Here is a 25608-nt window from a genome sequence, read left to right on the forward strand (position 1 = left end):
TTGATTTTACATTTGACAAGTAATGTGAGTATAAAACCCTTTTAGATGGCTGGTGCGGTGGCTCACACCTATAACCCCAGCACTCTGGGAGGCCAAGGCGGGCGGATCACGAGGTCAGGAGATCGAGACCATCCTGGCTAACACGGTGAAACCCTGTCTCTACTAAAAATACAAAAAAATTAGCCAGGTGTGGTGGAGGGCGCCTGTAGTCAGGAGAATGGCGTGAACCCGGGAGGTGGAGCTTACAGTGAGCCGAGATCACGCCACTGCACTCCAGCCTGGGCAAAAGAGCGAGACTCCATCTCAAAAAATAAAATAAAATAAAATAAAATAAAACTCTTTTAGATTTTTATATTTTTTCCACGTATCTTGTATAGTCATCTTACCCACATTTAAGCGGACAGTATTTTTTTTTGCAACTTGTTTTCATTAACTCTTCTCAAAACAATTTGTTTCATCATAATGAATCTAATGTAACCATCACCCAGCTTCAACAGTTATTCATATGTGCTGAATTGTGTTTCTTCCATACTACCCACAACCCACCTCCATCCCTCACCCCTTGTATAATGTTAAGCAAATCCCAGACATCATATTATTTCATTTGTAAATTTTCAGTAAAAAGAACTCCAATCTCCCCCACTCATATATTGTCAGGTTACAACATATTAAACAAATTACCTTTTAAAAACAAATACAAGCAGGCTTAGCACGGTGGCTCACGCCTGTAATCCCAGCATTCTGGGAGGCTGAGGCAAGTGGATCACCTGAGGTCAGGAGTTCAAGACCAGCCTGGCCAACATGGCAAAACCCCGTCTCTACTAAAAATACAAAAAAAATTAGCCAGGCATGGTGGTGGGCACCTATAATCCCAGCTACTCGGGAGGCTAAGGCAGGAGAATTGCTTGAACCCAGGAGGCAGAGGTTGCAGTGAGCCGAGATTGCACCATTGCACTCCAGCCTGGGCAACAAGAGCAAAACTCCATCTCAAAAACAAACAAACCAACCAACAAACAAAAAAACAAATACAACCAACATATACAGGTTTAGTAGTAAAAAAATTTACTGTACTGGTAGGTAAACAAGCACGCTGGAGTACTGGAGATCAACCAACTAATACCAAGTATTCAGTGTACACTGTATTTTACAAAGGAAATAAAAATTATTCAATGTGGTGAGTCAATTAAGTGGAGGTCAATTAAAGCTTCTAATGCATATGTAGAAGCTTTTTCATTTTTATTTATTTTATTTATTTATTTTTTGAGACAGGGTCTCGCTCTATCACCCAGGCCAGAGTGCAGTGGTGCAATCATAGCTCTCTGCAGCCTCGACCTCCCAGGCTCAAGGGATCCTCCCACTTCAGCCTCTGGAGTAGCAAAGACTACAGGCACATGCCACCATGCCTGGCTTTTTTTGTTGTTTTTTGTTGTTGTTGTTGTTGTTTTGTTTTTTTTGTTTTTTTTTTAGAGACAGGGTCTCACTATGTTGTCCAGGCTGGTCTCAAACTCCTGGGCTCAAGCAATCTTCCCACCTTGGCCTCCCAAAGTGCTGGGATTATAGGCGTGAGCTGCAGTGCCCGGCCATCACTTGTCTTTTTAACTGGGTTATGATGTCTTACACTTTCCAGAAGATTTTTTAAAATATATACTTAGATTTTTAAAATATATTCTTAAGTTATTTTTGTGTATGATGAGAGATGGAGACTTATTACTTTCTAAATACACAGCCACCTGTCTTTACTCAATTTCCATTTTCAACATTACACTTAGAACACTTAAAAGAACTAAAGTGTCAACTGCTTCGTTATAAAAAAGGAAGTTGTACAAACAAAATAATAAACCAACAGTCTAAGCTCAGTTTGATAGGCTCTTACTACTATGTACTTAAAGATCACATAGCAGTTTCAGGAGCAAAAACACTACCATGCCTGGCTCTCTTATTACCGCTACAGCTCACAACAGGGTCTCCAAAAGACATCATAGACTGCATAGAAGTCTATCTGCAGCTTACTGATTGCCACACATGTAAATTCACATTCACATTTAAATAACCCACACTTAACAACAAAATCAACCGTCTCAACTCTCTATGCATTCCTTATTGCTGCTCCTAGACCACAGTGCTTTGGAGACTTAGTAAAGAAAATGAATGCACTCTCCTGAATCACAATATCACCTGGAAATGTAACCAGAAGGTATAAAAAGTCAGGGTAGTTTGTTAAATTGTGTGTGTGTGTGTGTGTGTGTGTGTGTGTGTGTGTGTGTGTGTGTGTGTGTAATCAACAATTTATAAGGTTACCTTATCTCTGGGGTCAGCACTTTTTCTGTAAAGGTCCAGAGAGAAAATTGGCTTCACGGGACATAAGGGCTCTGTTTCAGCTCTGATGTTGTATTGTGAATGCGGCCAGAAAACACATAAATTAATGGATGTGGCTATATTCCAAGAGAAGTTTATTTACAAAAACCGGTGGTGGGCAGGATTTGGCCACAGGCAGTATTTTGCCAGCCCCTGCCTTATACCAATGTTTTATCTTTTTCAAATAACAATCTACTTCCCTCACTGCACACATATTTGAGTAAATATAGTAACACTGAAGGGACAAATAATTTCAGTACTGCCTTACAGAAATGAATATTCTCAAAATTAATCACTAACCTTTTCCTATAATTCCTTCTCATATGAGCACATACATTTTTCAAAATATAAAACTGTAAACATCACCTTGAACCTAATATTTATTTCAAAAGACAGTTACAATGAGTGTCATGTAGCTGCTATAAAAGGAAAAATGCAGTCTAGACAGTCAAATACAATGATCTTTTATTCATTATTCTCATAATCAACAGTGAGTAGAAAAGTCTGCTAAATACATGGTCATGAATCATAACTTCACTACTCAAAATGCAGAAGTAGACTTTCAAAGTACATTTAAATAAGAACACAAATTTGTTTTTTGGATTACTTACCAAAATCCTTGATGGAAAATGATACAGTTTTGCCAAAATATTTTTAATTTAGAAAGTGAAACCAAAAACCTCTTTAGCATATCATGCGTCTATTTAATTTTAAAATACAAATTTTAATGTTGCATTTGACAGCCTGGTGAGGTAGACATTATATTTTTAAGGCAGCCATTTTAATATAGTGAGAGCATGTGTGAATATGTATTAACATTCTAAGCCATTAAGGCCACTTGTTCACAGAATATATTTGAGCTCTAAAATTGTTGAAAGAGAAAATGCTCAAATAGCTTACAGAAATAATGGATGTTATACAGAACAGAAAGGAATCAAATTAAATAACAAAAGTTTGTAAGATTTCTTGACACCAAAAGCACAGTCCATAGAGGAAAAATTAATAAACTGGACCTCATCCAAATTAAAGCCTTTTGCTCTGTGAAATTCCCTGTGAAGAGGTTGGAAAGACAAGCTACAGACTGGGAGAACATATTTTCATACCACTACCTGACAAATGATTAGTATTAAGAATAAAAAGGCCAGGGGCGGTGGCTCACGCCTGTAATCCCAGCACTTTGGGAGGCCGAGGCGGGTGGATCATGAGGTCAGGAGATCGAGACCACCCTGGCTAACACGGTGAAACCCTGTCTCTACTAAAAATACAAAAAAAAAAAAAAATTAGCCAGGTGTGGTGGCGGGTGCCTGTAGTCCCAGATACTTGGGAGGCTGAGGCAGGAGAATGGCGTGAATCTGGGAGGCAGAGCTTGCAGTGAGATTGCACCACTGCACTCCAGCCTGGGCAACAGAGCGAGACTCCGTCTCAAAAAAATAATAAAAAACTCTTAAAACTCACCAGGTTAAAAAAAAAATCCAAATAGAAAATGGACAAAAGACATGAACTGATATTTCACTGAAGATACAGAGAATGGCAAATAAACACATGGAAAAATGATCAACATCATTGGCGATCAGAAAAATGCAAATTAAAACTAGGAGGATATATTACTACACACCTATGAGAATGGCTAAAATAAAAAATAGTAACAGCACCAAATGCTGTCAAGGATGAGGAGCATTCACACATTCCTGGTGGGAATGTAAAATGGTACAGCCACTCTGGAAAATGGTTTGGCAGTTCCTTAGAAAACTAAACATGCAAGTGCTATACCACCCAAGAAGTACACTCTCAGGCATTTCAGAAATTTATGTTCACACAAAATCCTGTGGACAACTGTTCATATGAGCTTTATTCAAAATAGGCAATAAATAAATAAATAAATAAGTAAAACAAACAAAAACCCTGGAAACATCAGATGCCCTTCAAGAGGTGACTGGTTAAACAAACTGCAGTAAATCCATATTATGGAATACTACTCAGCAATGGAAAGGAACAAGCCATTGATAAAAGGTATATTCCTTGCACTAATCTCCAAGGAATTATGCTGAGTGAAGTAAAGTCAGTCTCCAAAGGTTATATACTGTGTGATTCATTTATATAAGCATTTTTGAAATGACAAAATTATAGACATGAAAAACAGATCAGTGGTTGCCAGGAGTCAGGGATGAAGGGAGATGGCTACATCTATAAAAAGACAACAAAAAGGATCCTTGTGGTGATGCAATTGTTCTGTATCTTGACTGTGGTAGTGCTTATATAAATCTACACGTGATAACATTATGTAGAACTAAATACATACATGCAAATGACTGCATTAAAGGTGACGAAATCTGAGTAAGGTTGATGGATTGCATCGATTTCAATTTTGTAGTTGTGATGTTACACTATACTTATGCATGAGGCTATTATTGGGGGAAATTAGATAAAGCGTATTATTTCTTACAACTATATGTGAATCTACAACTATCTCAAAATAAAAAGTTAAAAGGGAAAGAAAGAGTATATAAGACCAGCCAATGGTAGAAGTGGAAAAACAAAGCTTTTATTTTTGCTAAAGGCTCAGCAATTGAAAGGATGGAGAAAAAGGTAATGTCAAAGAGTCTACAGGCTACAATTAATAGAATCATCTCTTCCTCCCCTATGGAAACTTAACTTCTCCAGAATTTTGTTTGTCCTTGATTTGACTGTTGTTGTTTTTAACAAAAATAAACTGGATGTACATCTGTCTCTCCACATGCCCCCCAACCATCTCCATCAGCCCAAAGTATAAACTCATAGAGTAGGGTTTGTCTTAACCATCATGTCCTGAGGGCCTGACATACGTGACAGATGAAGGAAGAAGATAGTTGAATGAATTAATAAATGAATGAGATGCCCACATATTATTTTAAAGTTCCTAGCCAATTACAGTTGTAAGGCAGTATGTGAGTGCGGTGGCGCGATCTCGGCTCACTGCAAGCTCCACCTTCCGGGTTCACGCCATTCTTCTGCCTCAGCCTCCCAAGTAGCTGGGACTACAGTCACCCACCACCACGCCTGGCTAATTTTTTGTATTTTTAGTAGAGACGGGGTTCCACCGTATTAGCCAGGATGGTCTCGATCTCCTGACCTCATGATCCGCCGGCCTCGGCCTCCCAAAGTGCTAGGATTACAGGCGTGAGCCACCACACCCAGCCATTCCCTTATAAATTTCTAAAAGCCATGGACATTTAAAAAATAGTGCGGTATAACACACATTTCACTTGCAAGCAGAAATTAACATAATACCCAACATTTGTAAAATGCTTCTGAGTTTATAGATTTTCACATATAATTATTTATTTAATCAGGATTAAGAACTAAGTATACCTAAATTGAAACCACTATACACAAACCTTTGAGAAAAACATTCTAGTCAACTGGTATAACAGGATTTATAACAGCCTTAACGCAAATTGCATTATATGTGTGTGTGTATACCTATATATACACGTGTGTATATATATATTTGTCATATATATTCATTATAAGAATATATCATTCAAATTGGGGGACTTGTGGATCATTTCAACAACCATAAAGACACTTATTTTACAGATGCAAAAACTAAGAGAGGTGAAGTGACTTGTTCAAGGTTAAATATATATCTAGAGTTGGGTCTAGAACCTGAGCCTCTCCAGAGTTCCAATTCATTTCTCTTGTCTGAATTGAACAAGACTCTTCTTTCTTCACCCATCTCACCCCTACCAAAAATACTGAAAGAAATATCTTAATCTAAATCACTTGTGTTTTTAAATAGGGGGTTTTCCAAAAAAAAAAAAAAACCCACAAAATTGAATTTACTCAAGCTTTCAATTGCTGTATTACACCTTCCATGGATTTTTAGTTGTCAAATTATTTCTTATAGCAGGACAATAAGGTACTTTATTCTAAGGTACAAGTATACTAACAGTTTAATGTTTCATCCCCCACCTAAATGGCAGAGAGTGTTAATTCTAACAGGAGTCTTACATGTCTTACACTTTAGCAGTTTCAATCAAAAGATGAGCTATTTTACAATTTAAGGAAGAGGCCTTACACTGTTAAAATCTTGACCGATATGCTCAATGGCAGTACCATCATTGAATCTCCACCTGCTGCCTTACGTATCAAGAACATTTAAAAGTCTTTCTTGTTAGAGACAAAATAAAAGAAAAACTAAGGTGACAAGCGACTATGAGAAATAAGGCTTTAATCAGGTTAAATTTGCATTATGCAGCCTGCATGAATTTAGAGGTCCTAGAATCAAAACACTAGAAGGAACCTTTGATATGCTCTAGTTCAACAGACTGATTTTTGCAGAAGAGGAAACTGAAGCGCTGATGAGACCATTAACTGATAAAGCAAACCGCTTACTTTTTCAAAGGGATTCATTTCAATGCCATTTTACCCTTATTTTGCATCTCACTGTTGTTTCTCAGAGCGACGATTGACCTTTTTTTAGGTGAAAAGAGCGAATAGAGCGTATTAATTTCAAGAGGGTGAAAAATGCCTTTGAAGGAGGAGATGCTGGAGTGAAGAGGAGAAATGACGTCTTATTTAAAATATGTAACCCCTTGATGGGGTTAGACAATGAATCATATTCTCCTAGATTTTTCTATGTCTATAGACATCAGCCACAGTTCTTTCAGGCACTCAAACGAGAGGAAGAGGAAGTGAATAAAGCTCATACTAAATATATAGCACCCACTGAAGGCAGGGATGTAGACAGAAAGAACGGGGGTGGGGGAAGGAAGGAAAGCACGCTTCGCCAGGATCCAGCTGTTTTCTAACAAACCTAAGCCTACGGAAGCTAGGAAGATATCGGAAGCAAGGAAGATATCGGAAGCGACGGCATCCCTCAAATTCGAGAGGGCGGATGCCTCTAGGGCTAGAGAGGCTCCCTAGCCCTCAGTTACAGAGCGACTGGGAGGGGACAAAATGGAGTTGAGGTTTAGGGGCACCCTAAAGGTCGTTTGGAGGTCTAGCAAGCACTTCATGGTCTCCTCCGGAAAGGGCCGTGGCAAAGCCTAGTACCCCGATCAGGAAGATGACTTCTGGCCCTCGGGATGCGGTGAGCGGCAGGAAGAGGCAGGCTGGGGTTCCGAGGACCCCAGAGTCCATCACAGGAGCAGATACAGTGACCTCGGGAATCTTCCCGGCCCCAGCGGAGGCGAGCGGATAGATAGCCCTGGCTCAAGGAAAAAAGCGAGCCGACTCCAGGAGCTGGAATGCCCACCCAACCTCCTCCCGGCTCAGGTGAGGTACGCCAGTCCCCCTCTGGAAATGGGGCCCTGGTACCGACAGGGCAGGGGTGCCGGGGCCGCAACCTCCCCATCCAGGGATACTCACCGGAGGGGCGGCCCACCGCGTCTTCGCAGCCGGCCGGCGCCTGGCACTCGGAAAGCTCGCAAAAAGGAACCGCGTGCCCGCTAGCGCTGGGACGAGGAGGAGCGCGCGGCGGAGGCCAGAGAAAAAGCCGCAGCGGCGCGCGCGCACCCGGACAGCCGGCGGAGGCGGGACTCAGCGCGAGCCCGGAAAAGACGCGCCCGGAGGGGCGGGCGGAGCGGGGGCGCGCGGTGGTGTGGCAGAGCCAGCCGAATCGCTGGCTGCAGACGGCTCGGCCCACCCACGCGCCCGCCCCCGCTCGCCCGGGACGTCAGTCGAAAAGGCGGAGCCGAACGGGCTTCCCGGGGCGCGGGAGGGGCGCTGCGAGGAAGGCGAGGCGGCTAACGGCTCGCCTCAAGTTGTTGCTCCCGCTGGCGATCCGCTTCTGTCAGTCTCGCTGCTGGTGTCGTTGAGTGTGTTTCGGGATGTCCTTGCGCCTAACAGCAGTGAGGCGCAGAATTGGCCCACGCCCTCACCTGCGGCTTGCTTCGCAGGACTCCACCCCAGGATAAAAGTTCCCCTCGGGTCATCTTCCAGCTGCCCTCAAAAGACACTCATTTTTGGGTTTCACTGCTCCTCTTTAAGAGAGCTATCTTGAACACTTTGACTAAAAGCATCTTGCTCCTGTAAGCCTGAACTAATGCCTCTCATCCGTTTATCTTGCCTCTTACTGCGTTAAGATCCCCGCTCACTCCCACTGATGAAATATCACAAGGACGCAGGATTTTCACGTTGTCTTTCATTTCCACGATGGTATCATGGCAAAAAAACCCCCAACTGATAAGGAAAAGTCACCGCAGCTTTGTGACATCTTACTAGCCCTGATCATTGCTTATAAGCCGGTCATACGAATGCTGTTCCAACAGATGCAAGAAATTGCTATTAAAATTAAAATGCCAGCGAACTATCTGAGGGCTTCAAAAGGGACAGACCATAATTGCAAATGAGGCCTGATAAACTGCCAAGAATATATCACCCAAAAAAATAAATCTCAAGAATTCTTCCAGTTCCCTGATGCGTAATGGTGAACTAGCTTCCTGTTCCTGATGGTAATTGACATTTCACTTCACTTGCTGATTTCCATTTTCCCATAGAATTACCATTTGTGCTTGTGTGTGTGTATATATATATGTATATATAAAATGCCTTACCACCTGAGATTACAAGCTAGAGTAGTTCTTCAGTGTGCATCACAATTATCTGGGGTGCTTGTTGAAATGTAGGTACCTGGAGCTACAACCCCCAGGTATTTTGATTCTGATCTGGGTAGGGATAAGAAATTTGAATTTTTAATAAGCAGCCCAGGTGACACTAAAAGTGGTTAGCTGAGAGCACAGAGCTATAGTTTTTGTGTTACTACTCTAAAGCCATATTACCAATTCAATTTCCAAGAAACCCACCCACTTACATATAATATACCTATAAATATTGCTAAGACAGTCATGTAGCTTCCTTTTTCAAGATTGACCTACAAAGTTCAGTACTTCAAACAACGAGTTTAATTGTCATGTTTATTTTATGAAATCTTGTTTTAATACCAGAAATAAGCAATCATATGTCAGGTACGTAATTCACTGGGTAACTATGATGTACAGAGCACTATCACCTACAGTTGGGTTAACACAAATGAAATTGAAGAAATGAATATCGCTGTTCTCAATAAAGTTAGTGTCTAGTTGTGGAATTAAAATATAGATATAATACAAACCCAGTGTAGCACATAAATCAGTGTGCTGGATGAAGATGAAAAAGAACTTGTAATTAAAGAGTACTTTTGCCAGTTTCCTTTATTGTCGGTCTCTTAGCCCAGACATTTTCAATTAGGTAATTTCCTCTGAACAGAGTCTTCAGCTTACTGAAGTTCCTCCAGCTCTACAAGATATAAAGGAAAGAAATCACTATAGCCTGAAACTATCCGTTTTTTGGTATACAAATGTGTGTATGATATACATATAGATATGTTTATCAGACCAAGAAACTACTTGGATTTTCAAGATCTCTTATTACTTAAGCTATTCATTAGTGTGTACAGTTCTGGCTGTCTTCATCACCTACCACATCTCACCTTCTTCCACATTTAACTGCACCCAAGTTGAAGAGGAAAGAAGAACTATACCTCCAAAAAGGAAACCAAGTATAACCACGCTATTTCCAGCTTTCCTTTTTCGGAGTCAAAACAAACCTTGCTTAATTTCTTGTCATCAGAAACCTTCCAGAAATTACTGCCCAGGAGCAAAATATTTCCCAAGCAGCTGTCTGACATTTTAAAGAGAACATTTGCAACGTTGTTTATTAGTTAGGAAGATAGGGTATTATTATCCCTATTTCACAGATGAAGAAATAGATGCAGGTTAAGTGTCTTGTCCAGTCACACAACTAAGTAGTAACAGAGCCTGAATTTCCTACTACACTGCTTATGACTCCTAGACCAGGGTGCTTGCCGCTACATTAAGCTGCCTCTGTAATGAGTCCTACCCAGAACTACCAACCCAATTAGAAATGGAGTAGATAAACGTATGGAAATGGAAGAGTTAGGAAAATGTACAATGCAATTGACAGATTCAAAATGCAATGTAATAAGTACTAAAAGCATGAGAATTAGTCTGTTAGAAGCTAAACAGAATTTAAAGGACAGCTCTGTTAACAGGCACTGATATTTAGGCCTTGCCTATTTTATTATTCTGTAACAAGAAGCTGAAACAGATAGCCAGGCTGCTCTTGGCATTAGTTATTTATGGAAGGGCAGAAAACAACTGTTCTTCATTGACTGTGTAACAAGCCTTTGCGTGTTAAACTTCACGGGTTTGTAGAATAATAATAATTTTCTCCTGTGGTCTAAATACAAGCAGCAGGGCTTCATAATAATATTTGCATTGACAAGTTGTGTTAGATTTTGTCATTAACAAACCTTATTTTTTGCAGACCCAACAACCAGGCCAAATATTGTCTTTAGTGGCTTGTGTTAAACAACCGGTGAAATCAGAAACCTACGTAGATGATCATCTCACTGTGAACATAAATAATAACCTAAGCCACTCCTTTCAAAAATGATCAAAGGCATAGTAGCTACATCTAAATGTTATTTTTGAGAAATGATTTGTTTTTTCAAAATAACTATTTCTTTTCATTCTGGCACATTTTTCAGGTTTTTAAATTAATGGAAACACCAAAACAAATAGACATCTAGTGCACCCAGATAGGAAGACACAGTATTGCATGGAGTCAAGTTTTTCCAAATTAATCCGTCAAGACAGTGTGGTCCACATCAAAATCACAGCAGGATTTTAATGGAACTTAATTTCGGTTTCTCTCATGAAACTCATTTGTCCTTTTTAAAGATAACTACAACACCCTCTAAATAAAATCCTCCACAGTTATCCTTGAAATTGTTTGTGTGACCTTCCCATAAAGAATCAAAAATAACAAAATATTTTTATTATCCATAAGGCCATGAGTATGTGAAAAATCTATTGTGGTTGTCATTGAATCTGTAAGAAAGTTGCCTTTGGTATATTTTTGCCCACTCTCTGTAGTGATTCTAGCCTAGTAATATTACAAAAAAAGATAGGTCATCAATTTCATAACTTGCCTTAAATCTCTTTTTATTATGCTTTCCCTTTAACATACAAAAAGCTTCCAATATGTCCTATTCTTAAAAGACCAGTAAAATAACAAAATTTTAAAATGTCCCTTACTCAAAATCTTCGACTATTAGTGCTGGGAAGCCACTTAGATGCAGAGTAGCACGATGGAAACCATATGGGTTTGGACTTAAGCCAACCACCCTAGACCAAGTTATATAACATTTTCCTGAGCCTCAGCCTCTTCTGTAAATTGGGGATAATAATGGTACCTCATTCATAAGACTCTTCTGAGGGAGGATTAAATGAAATCATGCCTATAAAATTCCTGATTTATGGCAAGTGTGTATAAAATGATGGCTATTAATCACCAAGTTCAACCTCTTCATTTCACAGATGAGAAAAAGGAAGCTAGAACCAGAACAATCTTTCTCCAGATTCTCCTATTCAGTAACTTTCTTTACAACTAAGGACAAATTCCTTGAGAAGTGGTCTACAGCCACTTCATTCACTAAGTCACTATCTGACCTCCAAGTTAATCTCCATTCCCATCAATCCTACAAATATTCCTGTTGCTAATGCCGTCTATGAAATAGACAAACCCCATAATTATGCTTAAATAATTATGGGACTATTTCACTCTGAAACTGAGTGAATAGTCCCCACTGGGACTATTGGACTGATTAAACCTTTGGATATTTATTCAAAGCATCCCTCTTCAAACCAAAATTCTGTAATAAAACTGTCTGCTTCACTTGGACCCTACATGGCACCTGATACAAGCCAAATTACTGTTATTCAAATAAAACATTTTTAACAATATGTTTGAATGAATAATTATTACTTTTAGAAATAGATATAAAAGATTATTAAATATTTTTAATTTTTCTTTTCAAGTTGGTAAGATCTTTAGATTGATAATATTCAATTTTGGCAAGAATATGAAGAAACTTGCACTCATATATTCTAAGTAGGAGCGTAAATTGGTTTGGCCCCTTTATTTTATTTTATTTGTTTATTTTTGAGACAGAGTCTTGCACTGTTGCCCAGGCTGGAGTGCAGTGGCACGACCTCAGCTCACTGCAACCTCTGCCTCCCGGGTTCAAGAGATTCTCATGCCTCAGCCTCCTGAGTAGCTGGGATTACAGGTGCCCGCCCCCATGCCCAGCTAACTTTTGTATTTTTAGTAGAGATGGGGTTTCACCACGTTGGGCAGGCTGGTCTTGAACTCAGAACTCAGGTGATCCACCTGCCTCGGCCTCCCAAAGTGCTGAGATTACAGGCGTGAACCACTGCACCCAGTCTGGCCTTTTTAAAAGACAATTTGGCAGTATCTTTTAAATTTTAAAATGCATATACTCTTTGACATTTTCATGTACAGGGCTCTACTATACAGAGAAACTTGAACAAATACACAAAGATCTATGCACAGGAATAGTAACCAGAGTATTATTTTAATAGTGAAAAATTAATCAAAAATCCCAAGTGTTCATTAATAGGAATGCGGTTAATACCTTATGGCATATCCATACTATGGAATACTGTGTTAGGTTAAAAAAAAAAAAAAGAATGAGGCACAATTATTTAAATATCTATATGCAAACATAATGACATGAAATGATGTTTGTGATATATTATTAAGCAAATAAGAGCAATTTGCAGTTCGATACACATAATTCATTCTCATTTTGAAAAAATATAAGTATATGTCACAGTATGTGTGTGCAGCAAACATCTGGAAAGATCTGTACCAGATCTGTACCAGATCTATTCCAGATAATGAACAGTTGTTATCTCTACAGAAAGGGATCAGAGACTTCTTTATATACTTACTTCTATTGAGCAAAACAGGTGAAGTGAACAGGCACTTCTTTTGTAATATAAATAAGAATAAAGAGACAATCAGTGGAAAAATGAGCCTTACTGAATGAAAATTTGCTTTACAAATAGCCTTTCTGGAATGTGTTTAGCTTATGTACAGTGATGTACAGCTACAGAGAATTTGGGAACCTTCACTAGGGCCTATTTGCACCATGGCTCAATAGAGTATAGTCTTAGGGAGGACCAATTCCTAAGCTGTTCTAGATCATCCTACCTAAATTTTTGCCCTTTGGCAACAAAATTAGATTTGTTGAACTATTTCATAGATACCATTGAAACAAGCTTGTAAAAAGTTGAGGTTAAGACCAGGTGTGGTGGCCCAGGCCTGAAATCCCAGCTACTTGGGAGGGTGGGGCAGGAGGATCACTTGAGTCCAGGAGTTCAAGACTGAGGCAGGAGAATGGCGTGAATCCGGGAGGCAGAGGTTGCAGTGAGCCGAGACTGAGCCACTGCACTCCAGCCTGGGCGACAGAGGGAGACTCCATCTTAAAACAACAACAACAACAACAACAAAATTAGCCAGGTGTGGTGGCAGGCGCCTGTAGTCCCAGCTACTGGGGAGGCTGAGACGAGAATGGCGTGAACCCAGGAGGCGGAGCTTGCAGTGAGCGAGATCGCACTCCAGCCTGGGTGATAGAGGGAGACTCTGTCTCAAAAAAAAGAAAAAAAAGACCCTTCAGCTTCAATCATACCTCCCTTCCCCACACCCCATACCATACCTTGTTTCCCAGCATTGCAGAAGCTGCTATTTAAAAAAAAAAAAAAAAGTTAACCTAAGGCTGAAAGAAAGACTAAATACAGATACACAAGGAAAGCACTGATGCAAAGTACATTTGTAAATTAACAAAAAAGAAATGGCCATGGGGTAATAAAAATATCAAAATCAGATTTTCGGATAATCCAGATCAGATCAGTTCCCTGATAAAGTTATCTGATAGTGAAATTTAATAGAGCCTTTATCTGCTACAGTGTTCAAGACGAGAAAACCTCTAAAATTGAAAAAAAAAATACTAATGTATCGACCATGTCAGCGACATTCATCTGAGATTGCTAGCCTTTCCCTTTCCATTGGCTTTTTGTATTAATCCCAGGATTATGAACAAACTCATGCTGTGCTGTACCTAAATGCAACATAATCCTTCCCAGGTAGATCTTAAACTCCTGACTCCTCATCAGAGACTGAAGTTGCCAGTTGTACTCTTGTGGCAATGTGATGACCCAGAGCTCACTGGGGCCTATGTTAGAAGAAAACCCCTATAGTGGCAGGGCAGAATGACCTCACCATTTATTATGACTTTTCCCAAAATGGGAAAAAAAGGGGGGAGTTTCAAAACCCAGTACCTTCCTGTAGAAAATAAAATGCATCATCAGATTAAATGAAAATTAAAGTGTCCTCATTTGAGATCATCACAGACGTTACAGCATGAAAGACTGGAAAAATGCAGAAGATGAAAAGTGTTGTAGCTACTGAATAGGAGACAGTGCTATGTCCTGTCTGAGCCCGTTGCACCATGTTTGAAAAACAAACATCTATGACACACATTGCAAAACCTAGATTAAGAAACCTCAGGGCAGAGGGCAGATCATCACACGTACAAGTGTACCCAGGCACTTGGCCAGTACACAAAGAGGTGCATGGCTTCAGCACTTCGAAGTCTGTGTCCTTGGGCCTCTTTGTTTAAAAAAAAGAACCATTTTCATGATACAGGTTTGATCAAGGCAACAGTTTTACTTTCTGTAAATGTAAACAAAGAAAGGATATGCATTTGCCTGTGAAATTTAAAGTGCCTAACACATGAACTTTTCAAATAGAATGATAGAGCTGTAAAGAACTTTAAAGATCATCAAAAGTCCAGTCACTTATTTATTTAAAAATGAGGAAACTGGGGCTCCAAGAGGTTAAATAATTTACCCAAGGTTACAAAACTTGTTATTTCAGAACTGAGGACTGGAACACAGATCTCCTGACTCTCAGTTCAGTGATCACCCCACTTTGCCATGTTGCCTACCTCATACTATTTCCTAGAGATTTTACAATATAACCATAAACAAAGTTATCATAACCACACTTTCTAAAGTGCCCTGATTTGCTTGGATTAAAAAATCAACAGGAATATCTAAGGAAAACAGAAAAAGATGATCTGTTGGATTTATGTGGAATATGTCTGAGGAAGCAACTGGAATTTTTGAAGAGAAAGATTATTTCTTCTCCTTTACATAATTTGTTATGGAAAAAAGTCTAAACTTTTCCAATACATTTGTTATCATCTGGATGTGCTTAATCTACCCCTCAACAAACGTCCACTCCAGGTTGCAAACTCCTCCTTACCCAACGTGCTGATGGTGTTGATAGCTTGCTTTTCTTATTTCCTATCTGCCACTTTTTGTTTGCTTGTTTGTTTTTTGAGACGGAGTCTCCCTCTGTCACCCAGGCTGGAGCGCAAGGGTGTGATCTCGGCTCACTGCAACTTCCTCCTCTCGAGTTCAAGCGTTTCTCCTGCCTCAGCCTCTGGAGTAGCTGGGATTACAGGCGCCCGCCACCACGCCTGGCTAATTTTTGTGTTTTTAGTAGAGATGGGGTTTCGCCTGTTGGCCAGGCTGGTTTCAAACTCCTCACCTCAGGTGATTCACCTGCCTCAGCCTCCCAAAGTGCTGGGATTACAGGCGTGAGCCACCACACCCGACCCCTGTCTGCCACTTTTATGACATTCTTGCTATTTCATTTAACTATATGAGCAAATATTCCAAGCCTGTAGACTTGATATCAGAAAGGAACTTCCCAGTGTAGCAGAAAATGTAACACTCTCAGGGGTTAGGACCAGGAAGCCATTTGGGGCATTTGACAAATATAATTTTGTAAAAACAGCTTTCTCATTCTTGTTTGCTTCTGATCTTTCCATCTTCTGTACTATATAACAGAAGCTGTAAAAGTTTAGAAATACCCAAATGTAAGAAATAAGCTACATTAAAAATGACCACGAAACACATGAAAAGGTGTTCAGCACTACTAGTCATTAGGGAAAGGCAAATCAAAAACACAATTAAATATCACTCCATACCCACTAAGATGGCTATAAAGATAATTTTTTTAAAAAGCACTGGAAAATAACAAGTGTTAGCAAGAATATGGAGAAATTGGAATCCTCCTACATTGCTGGTGGGAATGCAGAGTGGTGCAGCTGTTAAGGAAAACACTTCAACAGTTCCTCAAAAAGTTAAACATAGAGTTACTAATAACCCAACAATTCTACTCCTAAGTATATACCCAAAATAATTGAGGCTGGGCATGGTGGATCATGCCTGTAATCCCAGCACTTTGAGAGGCCAAGGCAGGTAGATTGCTTGAGACCAGGAGTTCGAGGCCAGCCTGGGCAACAAGGTGGACACCATCTCTACTAAAAATTAACAAAAAATTTAAAAAAAAGCTATGTGTGGTGGCACATGCCTGTAATCCCAGCTGCTCAGAAGGCTGAGCATAGGAATTGCTTGAACCCAGGAGGCAGAGGTTGCAGTGAGCTGAGATTGTGCCACTGCACTCTAACCTGGGTGACAGACCAAGACTCTGTCCAAAAAAAAAAAAAAATTGAAAACAAGTACTCAAATATATGTACACTCATGTTCATAGCAGCACTATTTACAAAAGCCAAAAGGTGGAACACTCCAAATGACCATCAGCATATAACTAGACAAAGAAATTTGGTACACCTATACAATGGAATATTTTTCATCCACAAAAAGGAGTGAAGTACTGATACACACTACAACATGGAAGAAACTTGAAAATAGTACATTAGGCCAGGCATAGTGGCTCACACCTGTAATCCCAGCACTTTTGGAGGCCGAGGCAGGTGGATCACCTGAGGTCAGGAGTTCGAGACCAGCCTGGCCAACATGGCAAAACCCCATCTCTACTAAAAATACAAAAAAAAAAAAAAAAATAGCCAGGTGTGGTGGCACGTGCCTGTAATCCCAGCTACTCAGGAGGCTGAGGCAGAGGTTGCAGTGAGCCGAGACCACACCACTGCACTCCAGCCTGGGCAACAGAGCAAGACTCTGTCTCAAAAAAAAAAAAAAAAGAAAATAATATGTAAAAGAAGTCAAACACAAAACATCACTTATTGTACTATTCCATTTAAATGAAATCTCCAAAATAAATTCGTAGAGACACAATGCAGAATAGTGGATGCCAGGAGCTAAGGAGAGGGAAGACATTGCTTAGTGGATAAGGAGTTTTATTTTGGAGAGATGGAAATGTTTTGAAACTAGATAGAGGTGGTGATTGCACAACATTGTGACTGTACTAAATACCAGTAAATCGTTCACTTGAAAATGGTTAATTTTGTTATTTGAATTTCACCTCAAATTATTATTAAAAAGAAATAAACTGCATCGAAAGAATGAAGCAAAAGATTGTAAACTTTCAATATTCAAAAGTTCATGTAACGAAGCATTAGAGAAGATACTGCAGAAAATAATATCTCAGAAAATAAAACGGAGTAGACCAAGTTCCCTTGGGGCAAAATTTAGGTTTGAAGAGTTATGAGGTGTTTTTCTCACTCATTTAACTTGGCTAATTTTCTAAGAATGAATTTTTTTTTTTTTTTTGAGATGGAGTCTCGCTCTGTCGCCCAGGCTGGAGTGCAGTGGCGCGATCTCGGCTCACAGCAAGCTCTGCCTCCCAGGTTCACGCCATTCTTCTGCCTCAGCCTCCTGGGACTACAGGTGCCCGCCACCACGCCCGACTAATTTTTTATATTTTTAGTAGATACTGGGTTTCACCGTGTTAGCCAGCATGGTCTTGATCTCCTGACCTCGTGATCCGCCTGCCTCGGCCTCCCAAAGTGCTGGAATTACAGGCGTGAGCCACCGCGCCGGGCCAGAATGAATATTTTCTATATCTGCTTAGAACCCTAAGTGTTAAGACATAACATCTTAATTTGTTTTACTATAGCATCAATATTTTTATCTGTCCTCAAGGGTTTTTCTGCTTCTCTCTAATGGGCAACATATAGGGATAAAATTTTAATTATTTTATTAATTCAGCTTTAAATTTATAATTATGTGAATAAATTTTTATTTACATGCAATATAAACAAATACATCATTTTGTGATCTAACCACATTTGCATACTATGTCATGTGTTCCTAAATGATGTGGCATTAAAAGTATAAATGGTTCTTTTAAAAATTCCATATTCTGGCCAGGTGTGGTGGCTCACGCCTGTAATCCCAGCACTTTGGGAGGCCAAGGCAGGCAGATCACCTGAGGTCAGGCATTCAAGACCAGCCTGGCCAACATGGTGAAACCCCATCTCTACTAAAAATACAAAAATTAGCTGGACGTGGTGGCAGGCACCTGTAATCTCAGCTACTCGGGAGGCTGAGGCAGGAGAATCGCTTGAACCTGAGAGGCAGAGGTTGCAGTGAGCCGAGACCACACCACTGCCCTCCAGCCTGGGTGACAGAGCGAGACTCTGTGGCAAAAAACAAACAAACAAACAACAAAACAACAACAAACAAACATATTCTACAACTTTACTCCCAAATTTAAATTTCCTTTTTTTTTTTTTTTGACAGGCTTGTCTCGAACTCCTGACCTCGTGATCCGCCCTCCTTGGCCTCCCAAAGTGCTGGGATTACAGGCGTGAGCCACTGTGTCTGGCCCCCAAATTCCATTTTTAAGAGGCTAAGGAAACAACAACAAAAAAATGTGTTCCACAAATTTAGAATTTCAAGAGATTTTAAATCTTTACCTCAAACTCATTCATGCAGTTATTCAGTCATTCAACAAATATTTATTTAACTGTGACTTTGTGACCAACTGGGAGAGGGGAACACAGATATGGTGCCAAACTCAAGGGACAGGTCACCTCCCTTAGGGAGCTTATATGTTGATGTGTAAGACAACCAAATGAGATAACTTCAGAAAATGATGTCATAGACAACATAAAACATGACTATGAGATTAAAGGTGCATTTTTGTGTAAAGCTGTACTTTTTTTTTTTTTTTTAGTCTAGTGTAGTGAGAAGGTGGGAAAGAGTAGAACAAGGAGTTTGATCTGTAACTGACTGTGAACAATCAATTGAGATAAATTACTAGCTTTGGACCAGCCTCAAGGTGTATTTTTTATTTTTATTTATTTTATTTATTTATGTATTTATTTATTTGAGACACAGGCTTGCTCTGTCGCCCAGGCTGGAGTGCAGTGGTGCAATCTTGGCTCACTGCAACCTCCGCCTCCCAGGTCAAGCAATCCTCCCACCTCAGCCTCCCAAGTAGCTGGGATTACAGGCATGTGCCACCATGCCCGGCTAATTTTTGTATTTTTAGTAGAGACGAGATTTCACCAGGTTGGCCAGGCTGGTCTCAACCTCCTGACCTCAAGTGATCCATCGGCCTCGGCCTCCCAAACTGCTGGGATTACAAGCATGAACCACTGCGCCTAGCCTTGAGGTGTACTTTAAATAGGGTGATTTGGAAATGCCTAGCTGCAAAGTCAACATTTGAGCTAAGACGTGAATAATAAAAGGGACCCAGTCAGGCCCAGGTCAGGGGGAAGAATGGTCTAGTCAGAAGGATCATCAAGAGCCAGACATGGTGGCTCACGCCTGTAATCCCAACACTTTGGGAGGCTGAGGTGGGTGGATCACCTGAGGTCAGTAGTTCCAGATCAGTCTGATCAACATAGTGAAACCCTGTCTCTACTAAAATTACAAAATTAGCCCGGTATGGTGGCTCAGGCCTGTAATCGCAGCCACTTAAGAGGCTGAGGCAGGAAAATCACTTGAACCCGGGAAGCAGAGGTTGCAGTGAGCCGAAATCATGCCATTGCACTCCAACCTGGGCAACAAGACCGATCGATACTCTGTCTAAAAAAAAAAAAAAAAAAAAAAAAGATCATCAAGAGCAAAAGTCATAAAGCCAATCTGGCAATCTGGGCTTGGGCCTTGTACAACTGGATGGATCATAGAAAACTAGAGAACTAAGGGCAGAGGCGACATGGAAAGAAGTCAGAGAGGTGAGGAGGAACTGGTTTGTCAGGGTAGTATAGTCCAGGGTAAAAAGTCTGATTTTATTTAAGTACACCTATGCTCTGAAATGTTTACAACACCAAGAGTAATCTGGTCAAAGCAGCAGATAAAAGGGATTGGTGAAACACAAACAACACACACACACACACACACACACACACACACACACACACACACACACATACACATTTAAGAGAGGATATACCAAAACATATACTTCCCTTTGGTTGTCAGAAATTAATCTGATCAGCCTGAAAGATTGTTTTCTTTTCCTTCTAGCCCAGGGTTTCTCAAACTCAGCGCTATTGACATTTGGACTGGATAATTTTGGGAGGAGCTGCCCTGTACATTGCAGAATGTTTAACAGCATCCCTGATATCTACCTGCTAAATACTAGTAGCACCCCTCTCCGAGGCTGTGACCACCAGAAACATGTCTAGAGATTGCCAACTGTCTTATAGAAGCAAAACTGACCTTGGTAGGGTACAACTGTTCTAATGCAAGGCAGGAAAGTGAATAGATGCCATGTAGGGAGGTAGACTTTGAAGGAGGTGGCATTTTCTTTTTAATTTCGCCTTTCCCACCTCCAGCCTCATTCCAAAGCCTCTCCTGATTCCCCAGCCTATGGAACACATACACTGGTGTTAAGTAAATATTCAGTAAATTCTTCCAATACTGACTGCCAATCTGTACACACTGAGCCAAAATTTTTCTTCAACAACAGGGTGGTAGGTGGAGGATACCATTGGATTTGAGTAGTCTGGGTAACTGCCTCAACTTTTCAGCTCATTTTGTTTATATAGAGCCTTAAAGAGACAAAACCTCCTACTGGATGTCTACAGAACACCAAAAGAATTATTCATTTTCTAAATTCCAACAAAGTTTTCTGAAAACACAACTTTTATTCACTGACTTCAATTATAAACTTAGAGTTGCATTTCCATAAGCAGCACCTCCTAACAGAGTATGAGACTGTGAGAGTAGCAGAGAGTAGTCAGAGACTCTCGGGCAGGGTTTCCCATTCTCAGTACCATTGACATTTGGGGCCAGATAATTATTTTTGTGGGGATCTGTCCTGTGCATTATAGGATATTGAGCAGCATCCCTGGTCTCTGCCCACAGGATGCCAGAAGCACCCACCCCACTCCTTTTGCAAAAATAAAAAAAAAACTGTTTGTAATGAATATCCAGGAGTCCATACTGATGTAAAGAAATGATGGATAAATAAATAGATATGGGAGAAGATACAAATTTCCCACAGAGAAGAATTCTAAGTAATTTATGTAGATACACTTTCCTCAAGGAGGTAGTACCTAATTCCTCACTCTTTGAGTGAGGGCTGCACCTAGTGACTTGCTTTCAAAGAGTAGAGTATGGAAAGGCAGGAAAATAACTTTACAAAGAAGAAACTTCGGCCAGGTGCGGTGGCTCATGCCTGTAATTCCAGCACTTTGGGAGGCCGAGGTGGGCAGATCACCTGAGTTCAGGAGTTCGAGACTAGCCTGTCCAACATGGTGAAACCCCACCTCTACTAAAAATACAAAAATTAGCCGGGTGTGTTGGCGCACATCTGTAATCCCAGCTACTGGAGAGACTGAGACAGGAGAATTGGTTGAACCTGGGAGACAGAGGTTGCAGTGGGCCGAGATCACAGCATTGCACTCCGGCCTAGTCGACAGAGCAAGACCCTGTCCCCCAGGCCAAAAAAAAAATCTCACAAACACTACCTTGGATAAGTGGCCAAGATTAACATCATCAGTGATGTCATGTTGATAGTCTTAGATATGATAAAATGAGAATGGCAGTTCACCTCCATGGTGCCTCCCCTCAAATCCCATATCAGAATAACATTAGATAAATTGGCCAGGCATGGTGGGTCACACCTATAATCCCAGCAATTTGTGAGGCTGAGGCGGGCGGATCACCTGAGGTCAGGAGTTCCAGACCAGCCTGGCCAACATGGCGTAACCCCGTCTCTACTAAAAATACAAAAATTGGCCAGCTGTGGCGGTGGGCGCCTGTACTCCCAGCTACTAGGGGGCTGAGGCAGGAGAATCGCTTAAACCCGGAAGGCACAGTTTGCAGTGAACCGAGATCATGCCACTGCATTCCAGCCTGCGCAACAGAGCGAAATAATAACATTAGACAAATCCTAACTAAAAGATACTCTGCAAAATACCTAATCAGTACTCCTCAAAACTGTCAAGGTCATCAAAAACAAAGAAAGTCTGAGAAACTGTTATAGCCAAGAGAAGTCTAGCTAAATACAATGTGGTTTCTTGGATGGGGTCCTGAAACAGAAAAAGGACATTAAGTACCAACTAAGTGTGTCCGGAATTGGTGGGTTCTTGGTCTCACTGACTTTAAGAAAGAAGCCACGGACCCTCGTGGTGAGTGTTACAGTTTTTAAAGGCGGCGTGTCTGGAGTTTGTTCCTTCTGATGTTCAGATGTGTTTGGAGTTTCTTCCTTCTGGTGGGTTCGTGTTCTCGCTGGCTCAGGAGTGAAGCTGCAGACCTTCGCAGTGAGTGTTACAGCTCTTAAGGCGGCGCATCTGGAGTTGTTCATTCCTCCCAGTGGGTTCGTGGTCTCGCTGGCTTCAGAAGTGAAGCTGCAGACCTTCGCGGTGAGTGTTACAGCTCATAAAGGCAGTTTGGACCCAGAGAGTGAGCAGCAGCAAGATTTATTGCAAAGAGCAAAAGAACAAAACTTCCACAGTGTGGAAGGGGACCTGAGCAGGTTGCCACTGCTGGCTCGGGCAGCCTGCTTTTATTCCCTTATCTGGCCTCACCCACATCCTGCTGATTGGTCCATTTTACAGAGAACCGATTGTTCTGTTTTACAGAGAGCTGATTGGTCCGTTTTGACAGGGTGCTCATTGGTGCATTTACAATCCCTGAGCTAGACACAAAAGTTCCCCACGTCCCCACTAGATTAGCTAGACACAGAGTGTCCATACAAAAGTTCTCCACTTCCCCACTAGATTAGCTAGACACAGAGTGTTGATTGGTGCATTCACAAACCCTGAGCTAGACACAGGGTGCTGATTGGTGTGTTTACAAACCTTGAGCTAGATACAGAGTGTTGATTGGTGTATTTACAATCCCTTAGCTAGACACAAAGGTTCTCCAAGTCCCCACCAGAGTAGCTAGATACAGAGTGTCAATTGGTGCATTCACAAACCCTGAGCTAGACACAGGGTGCTGATTGGTGTGTTCACAAACCTTGAGCTAGATACACAGTGCCAACTGGTGTATTTACAATCCCTTAGCTAGACATAAAGGTTCTCCAAGTCCCCACCAGAGTAGCTAGATACAGAGTGTCGATTGGTGCATTCACAAACCCTGAGCTAGACACAGGGTGCCGATTGGTGTGTTTACAAACCTTGAGCTAGATACAGAGTGCCGATTGGTGTATTTACAATCCCTTAGCTAGACATAAAGGTTCTCCAAGTCCCCACCAGAGTAGCTGGATACAGAGTGTCAACTGGTGCATTCACAAACCCTGAGCTAGACACAGAGTGCTGATTGGTGTATTTACAATCCCCTAGCTAGACATAAAGGTTCTTCAAGTCCCCACCAGACTCAGGAGCCCAGCTGGCTTCACCCAGTGGATCCCTCACTGGGGCTGCAGGTGGAGCTACCTGCCAGTCCCGTGCTGTGGGCCCACACTTCTCAGCCCTTGGGTGAGGATGGGACTGGGCACCGTGGAACAGGGGGTGGCACTCGTCGGCGAGGCTCGGGCTGCACAGGAGCCCATGGAGGGGGCGGAGGCTCAGGCATGGCGGGCTGCAGGTCCCGAGCCCTCCCCCGCGGGGAGGCAGCTAAGGCCTAGTGAGAAGCTAAGGCCCCGGCACTGCTGGGGGACCCAGCACACCCTCCGCAGATGCTGGCCCGGGTGCTAAGCCCCTCATTGCCCAGTGCAGCAGGGCTGGCTGGCCACTCCGAGTGCGGGGCCACCAAGCCCACGCCCACCTGGAACTCCAGCTGGCCCGCAAGCACCACGCGCAACCCTGGTTCCCACTTGCGCCTCTCCCTCCACACCTCCCTGCAAGCTGAGGGAGCCAGCTCAGGCCTTGGCCAGCCTAGAAAGGGGCTCCCACAGTGCAGCGGTGGGCTGAAGGCCTCCTCGAGTGCCGCCCAAGTGGGAGCCCAGGCAGAGGAGGCGCCGAGAGTGAGCGGGGGCTGCGAGGGCTGCCAGCACTCTATCACCTCTCATAAGGACATAGAAATAAAGTATAAACTTTAGTTAATAATAATGTGTCAATATCTCTTCCTTGGTGTAACAATACATCACACCAATGTAAGACGTTAACAATAGGGGAAACTAAGTGAAGATATATGCAAGTCTTTGTACTATGTTTGCAACTTTTTTTGTAACTCTAAAACTACTGTAAAAACTTTTTAAGTTTATTTTTTAAATGTCTTCAGATATTGCCAAACTTCCCCTAGGGAGCAAAATCTCCTTCAGTTAAGAATCACTGTTCTAGGTCAATCTAGTCATTTGCTTTATCATTATAACACTTTCCACCTTTTACAATATTTTTACTAACTCCCAGCTCTCCTCTATGTTGTCAGCAACTCTTAATATTCAAGAATTCTTAGACTTTAAGATCTCCTTTGTTCTCACCCACAGCTTCCAGAGCTTTCCTCCTCTCCACTTTTGTCTGTCTATTCACTACATACCAATTGAAGTGGAGTTCAATGTCATTTCCCTCATAGGTAATGCTATCTAACAATTCAAGTCTGTAAATTCTTCTACTTCAAGACATGAGGTAATAGTTAAACTACTTTTTTCAGCTTGAAAATCTGCACATTGTGATTACATTAAAAAGGGCTACTTGCACTTCATCAGTGTTGCAAAAACTTCAGTTCAAGAGTGATACTGTCTTAATATTAAGACTGCTTTGCCCTGAAAAGATATTCCACCAATATATGGAACAGAGGCTTCAGCTGCAGATATGAAATAGAATTAGTTTAAGGCAAAATGGTCTGCCAAATCCAACATTGTCAGTCACTCTCCATAGCATTTTGTGATTTTAAAAATTTTTACCTAGTAGTTGTTCAGCCATGAATATGAATTTCTGCCTTATTCCGGGTTTAAATATGAAGAAACAAAAGAGTTTGACCCAATATTGAAATTAAACCTGAAAAAATTAAAGATACCAGTAAAAAGAAAGACAAGTGGAGCCACTAACGTAATTTATTTTTATTTTTATTTTTATTTTTTGAGACAGAGTCTCGCTCTGTCGCCCAGGCTGGAGTGCAATGGCACTATCTCAGCTCACTGCAACTCCACCTCCTGAGTTCAAGTGATTCTCCTGCCTCAGCCTCCTGAGTAGCTGGGATTACAGGCACGCACCACCACGCCTGGCTA

At 41.4% G+C, this 25608-nt stretch overlaps 1 protein-coding gene and 1 long non-coding RNA gene across 12 annotated transcripts in view, besides 5 other annotated features; one reads left to right on the plus strand and one right to left on the minus strand.

Annotated features, from left to right (window-relative positions):
* The window catches only part of ACSL4 (acyl-CoA synthetase long chain family member 4), a 91923-nt gene extending 84100 nt beyond the window's left edge, over window positions 1-7823 (minus strand). For all 11 annotated transcript variants that reach the window (NM_001437252.1, NM_001437251.1, NM_001437247.1 and 8 more), the window contains exon 1: window positions 7705-7823. The gene's annotated coding sequence lies outside the window, so the exon portion shown is untranslated. The remainder of the gene's footprint in view (window positions 1-7704) is intronic.
* LOC105373311 (uncharacterized) lies at window positions 7077-9524 on the plus strand. Its single transcript, NR_158569.1, has one exon. It is a non-coding gene; the product is annotated as an uncharacterized LOC105373311 (long non-coding RNA).
* Window positions 7186-7235: an enhancer, noted in NCBI's record as "active region_29847". NCBI's record gives its function as "activates an Ori minimal core promoter by ATAC-STARR-seq in GM12878 lymphoblastoid cells {active_cell/tissue: GM12878}" and the evidence as "EXISTENCE:reporter gene assay evidence [ECO:0000049][PMID:35858748]".
* Window positions 7296-7435: an enhancer, noted in NCBI's record as "active region_29848". NCBI's record gives its function as "activates an Ori minimal core promoter by ATAC-STARR-seq in GM12878 lymphoblastoid cells {active_cell/tissue: GM12878}" and the evidence as "EXISTENCE:reporter gene assay evidence [ECO:0000049][PMID:35858748]".
* Window positions 7558-7678: a silencer, noted in NCBI's record as "fragment chrX:108976221-108976341 (GRCh37/hg19 assembly coordinates)". NCBI's record gives its function as "represses an EF-1alpha promoter that drives an FKBP-Casp9 reporter gene in an ReSE screen in HepG2 liver carcinoma cells {active_cell/tissue: HepG2}" and the evidence as "EXISTENCE:reporter gene assay evidence [ECO:0000049][PMID:32094911]".
* Window positions 7776-8085: a silencer, noted in NCBI's record as "silent region_20936". NCBI's record gives its function as "represses an Ori minimal core promoter by ATAC-STARR-seq in GM12878 lymphoblastoid cells {active_cell/tissue: GM12878}" and the evidence as "EXISTENCE:reporter gene assay evidence [ECO:0000049][PMID:35858748]".
* Window positions 15466-15760: a silencer, noted in NCBI's record as "tiled region #2605; K562 Repressive non-DNase unmatched - State 3:PromF". NCBI's record gives its function as "represses a minimal TATA promoter and a strong SV40 promoter by Sharpr-MPRA in K562 cells {active_cell/tissue: K562}" and the evidence as "EXISTENCE:reporter gene assay evidence [ECO:0000049][PMID:27701403]".

The sequence above is a fragment of the Homo sapiens genome, chromosome X (genome assembly GCF_000001405.40).
Source record: "Homo sapiens chromosome X, GRCh38.p14 Primary Assembly".
Taxonomy (NCBI): Eukaryota; Metazoa; Chordata; class Mammalia; order Primates; family Hominidae; genus Homo; species Homo sapiens.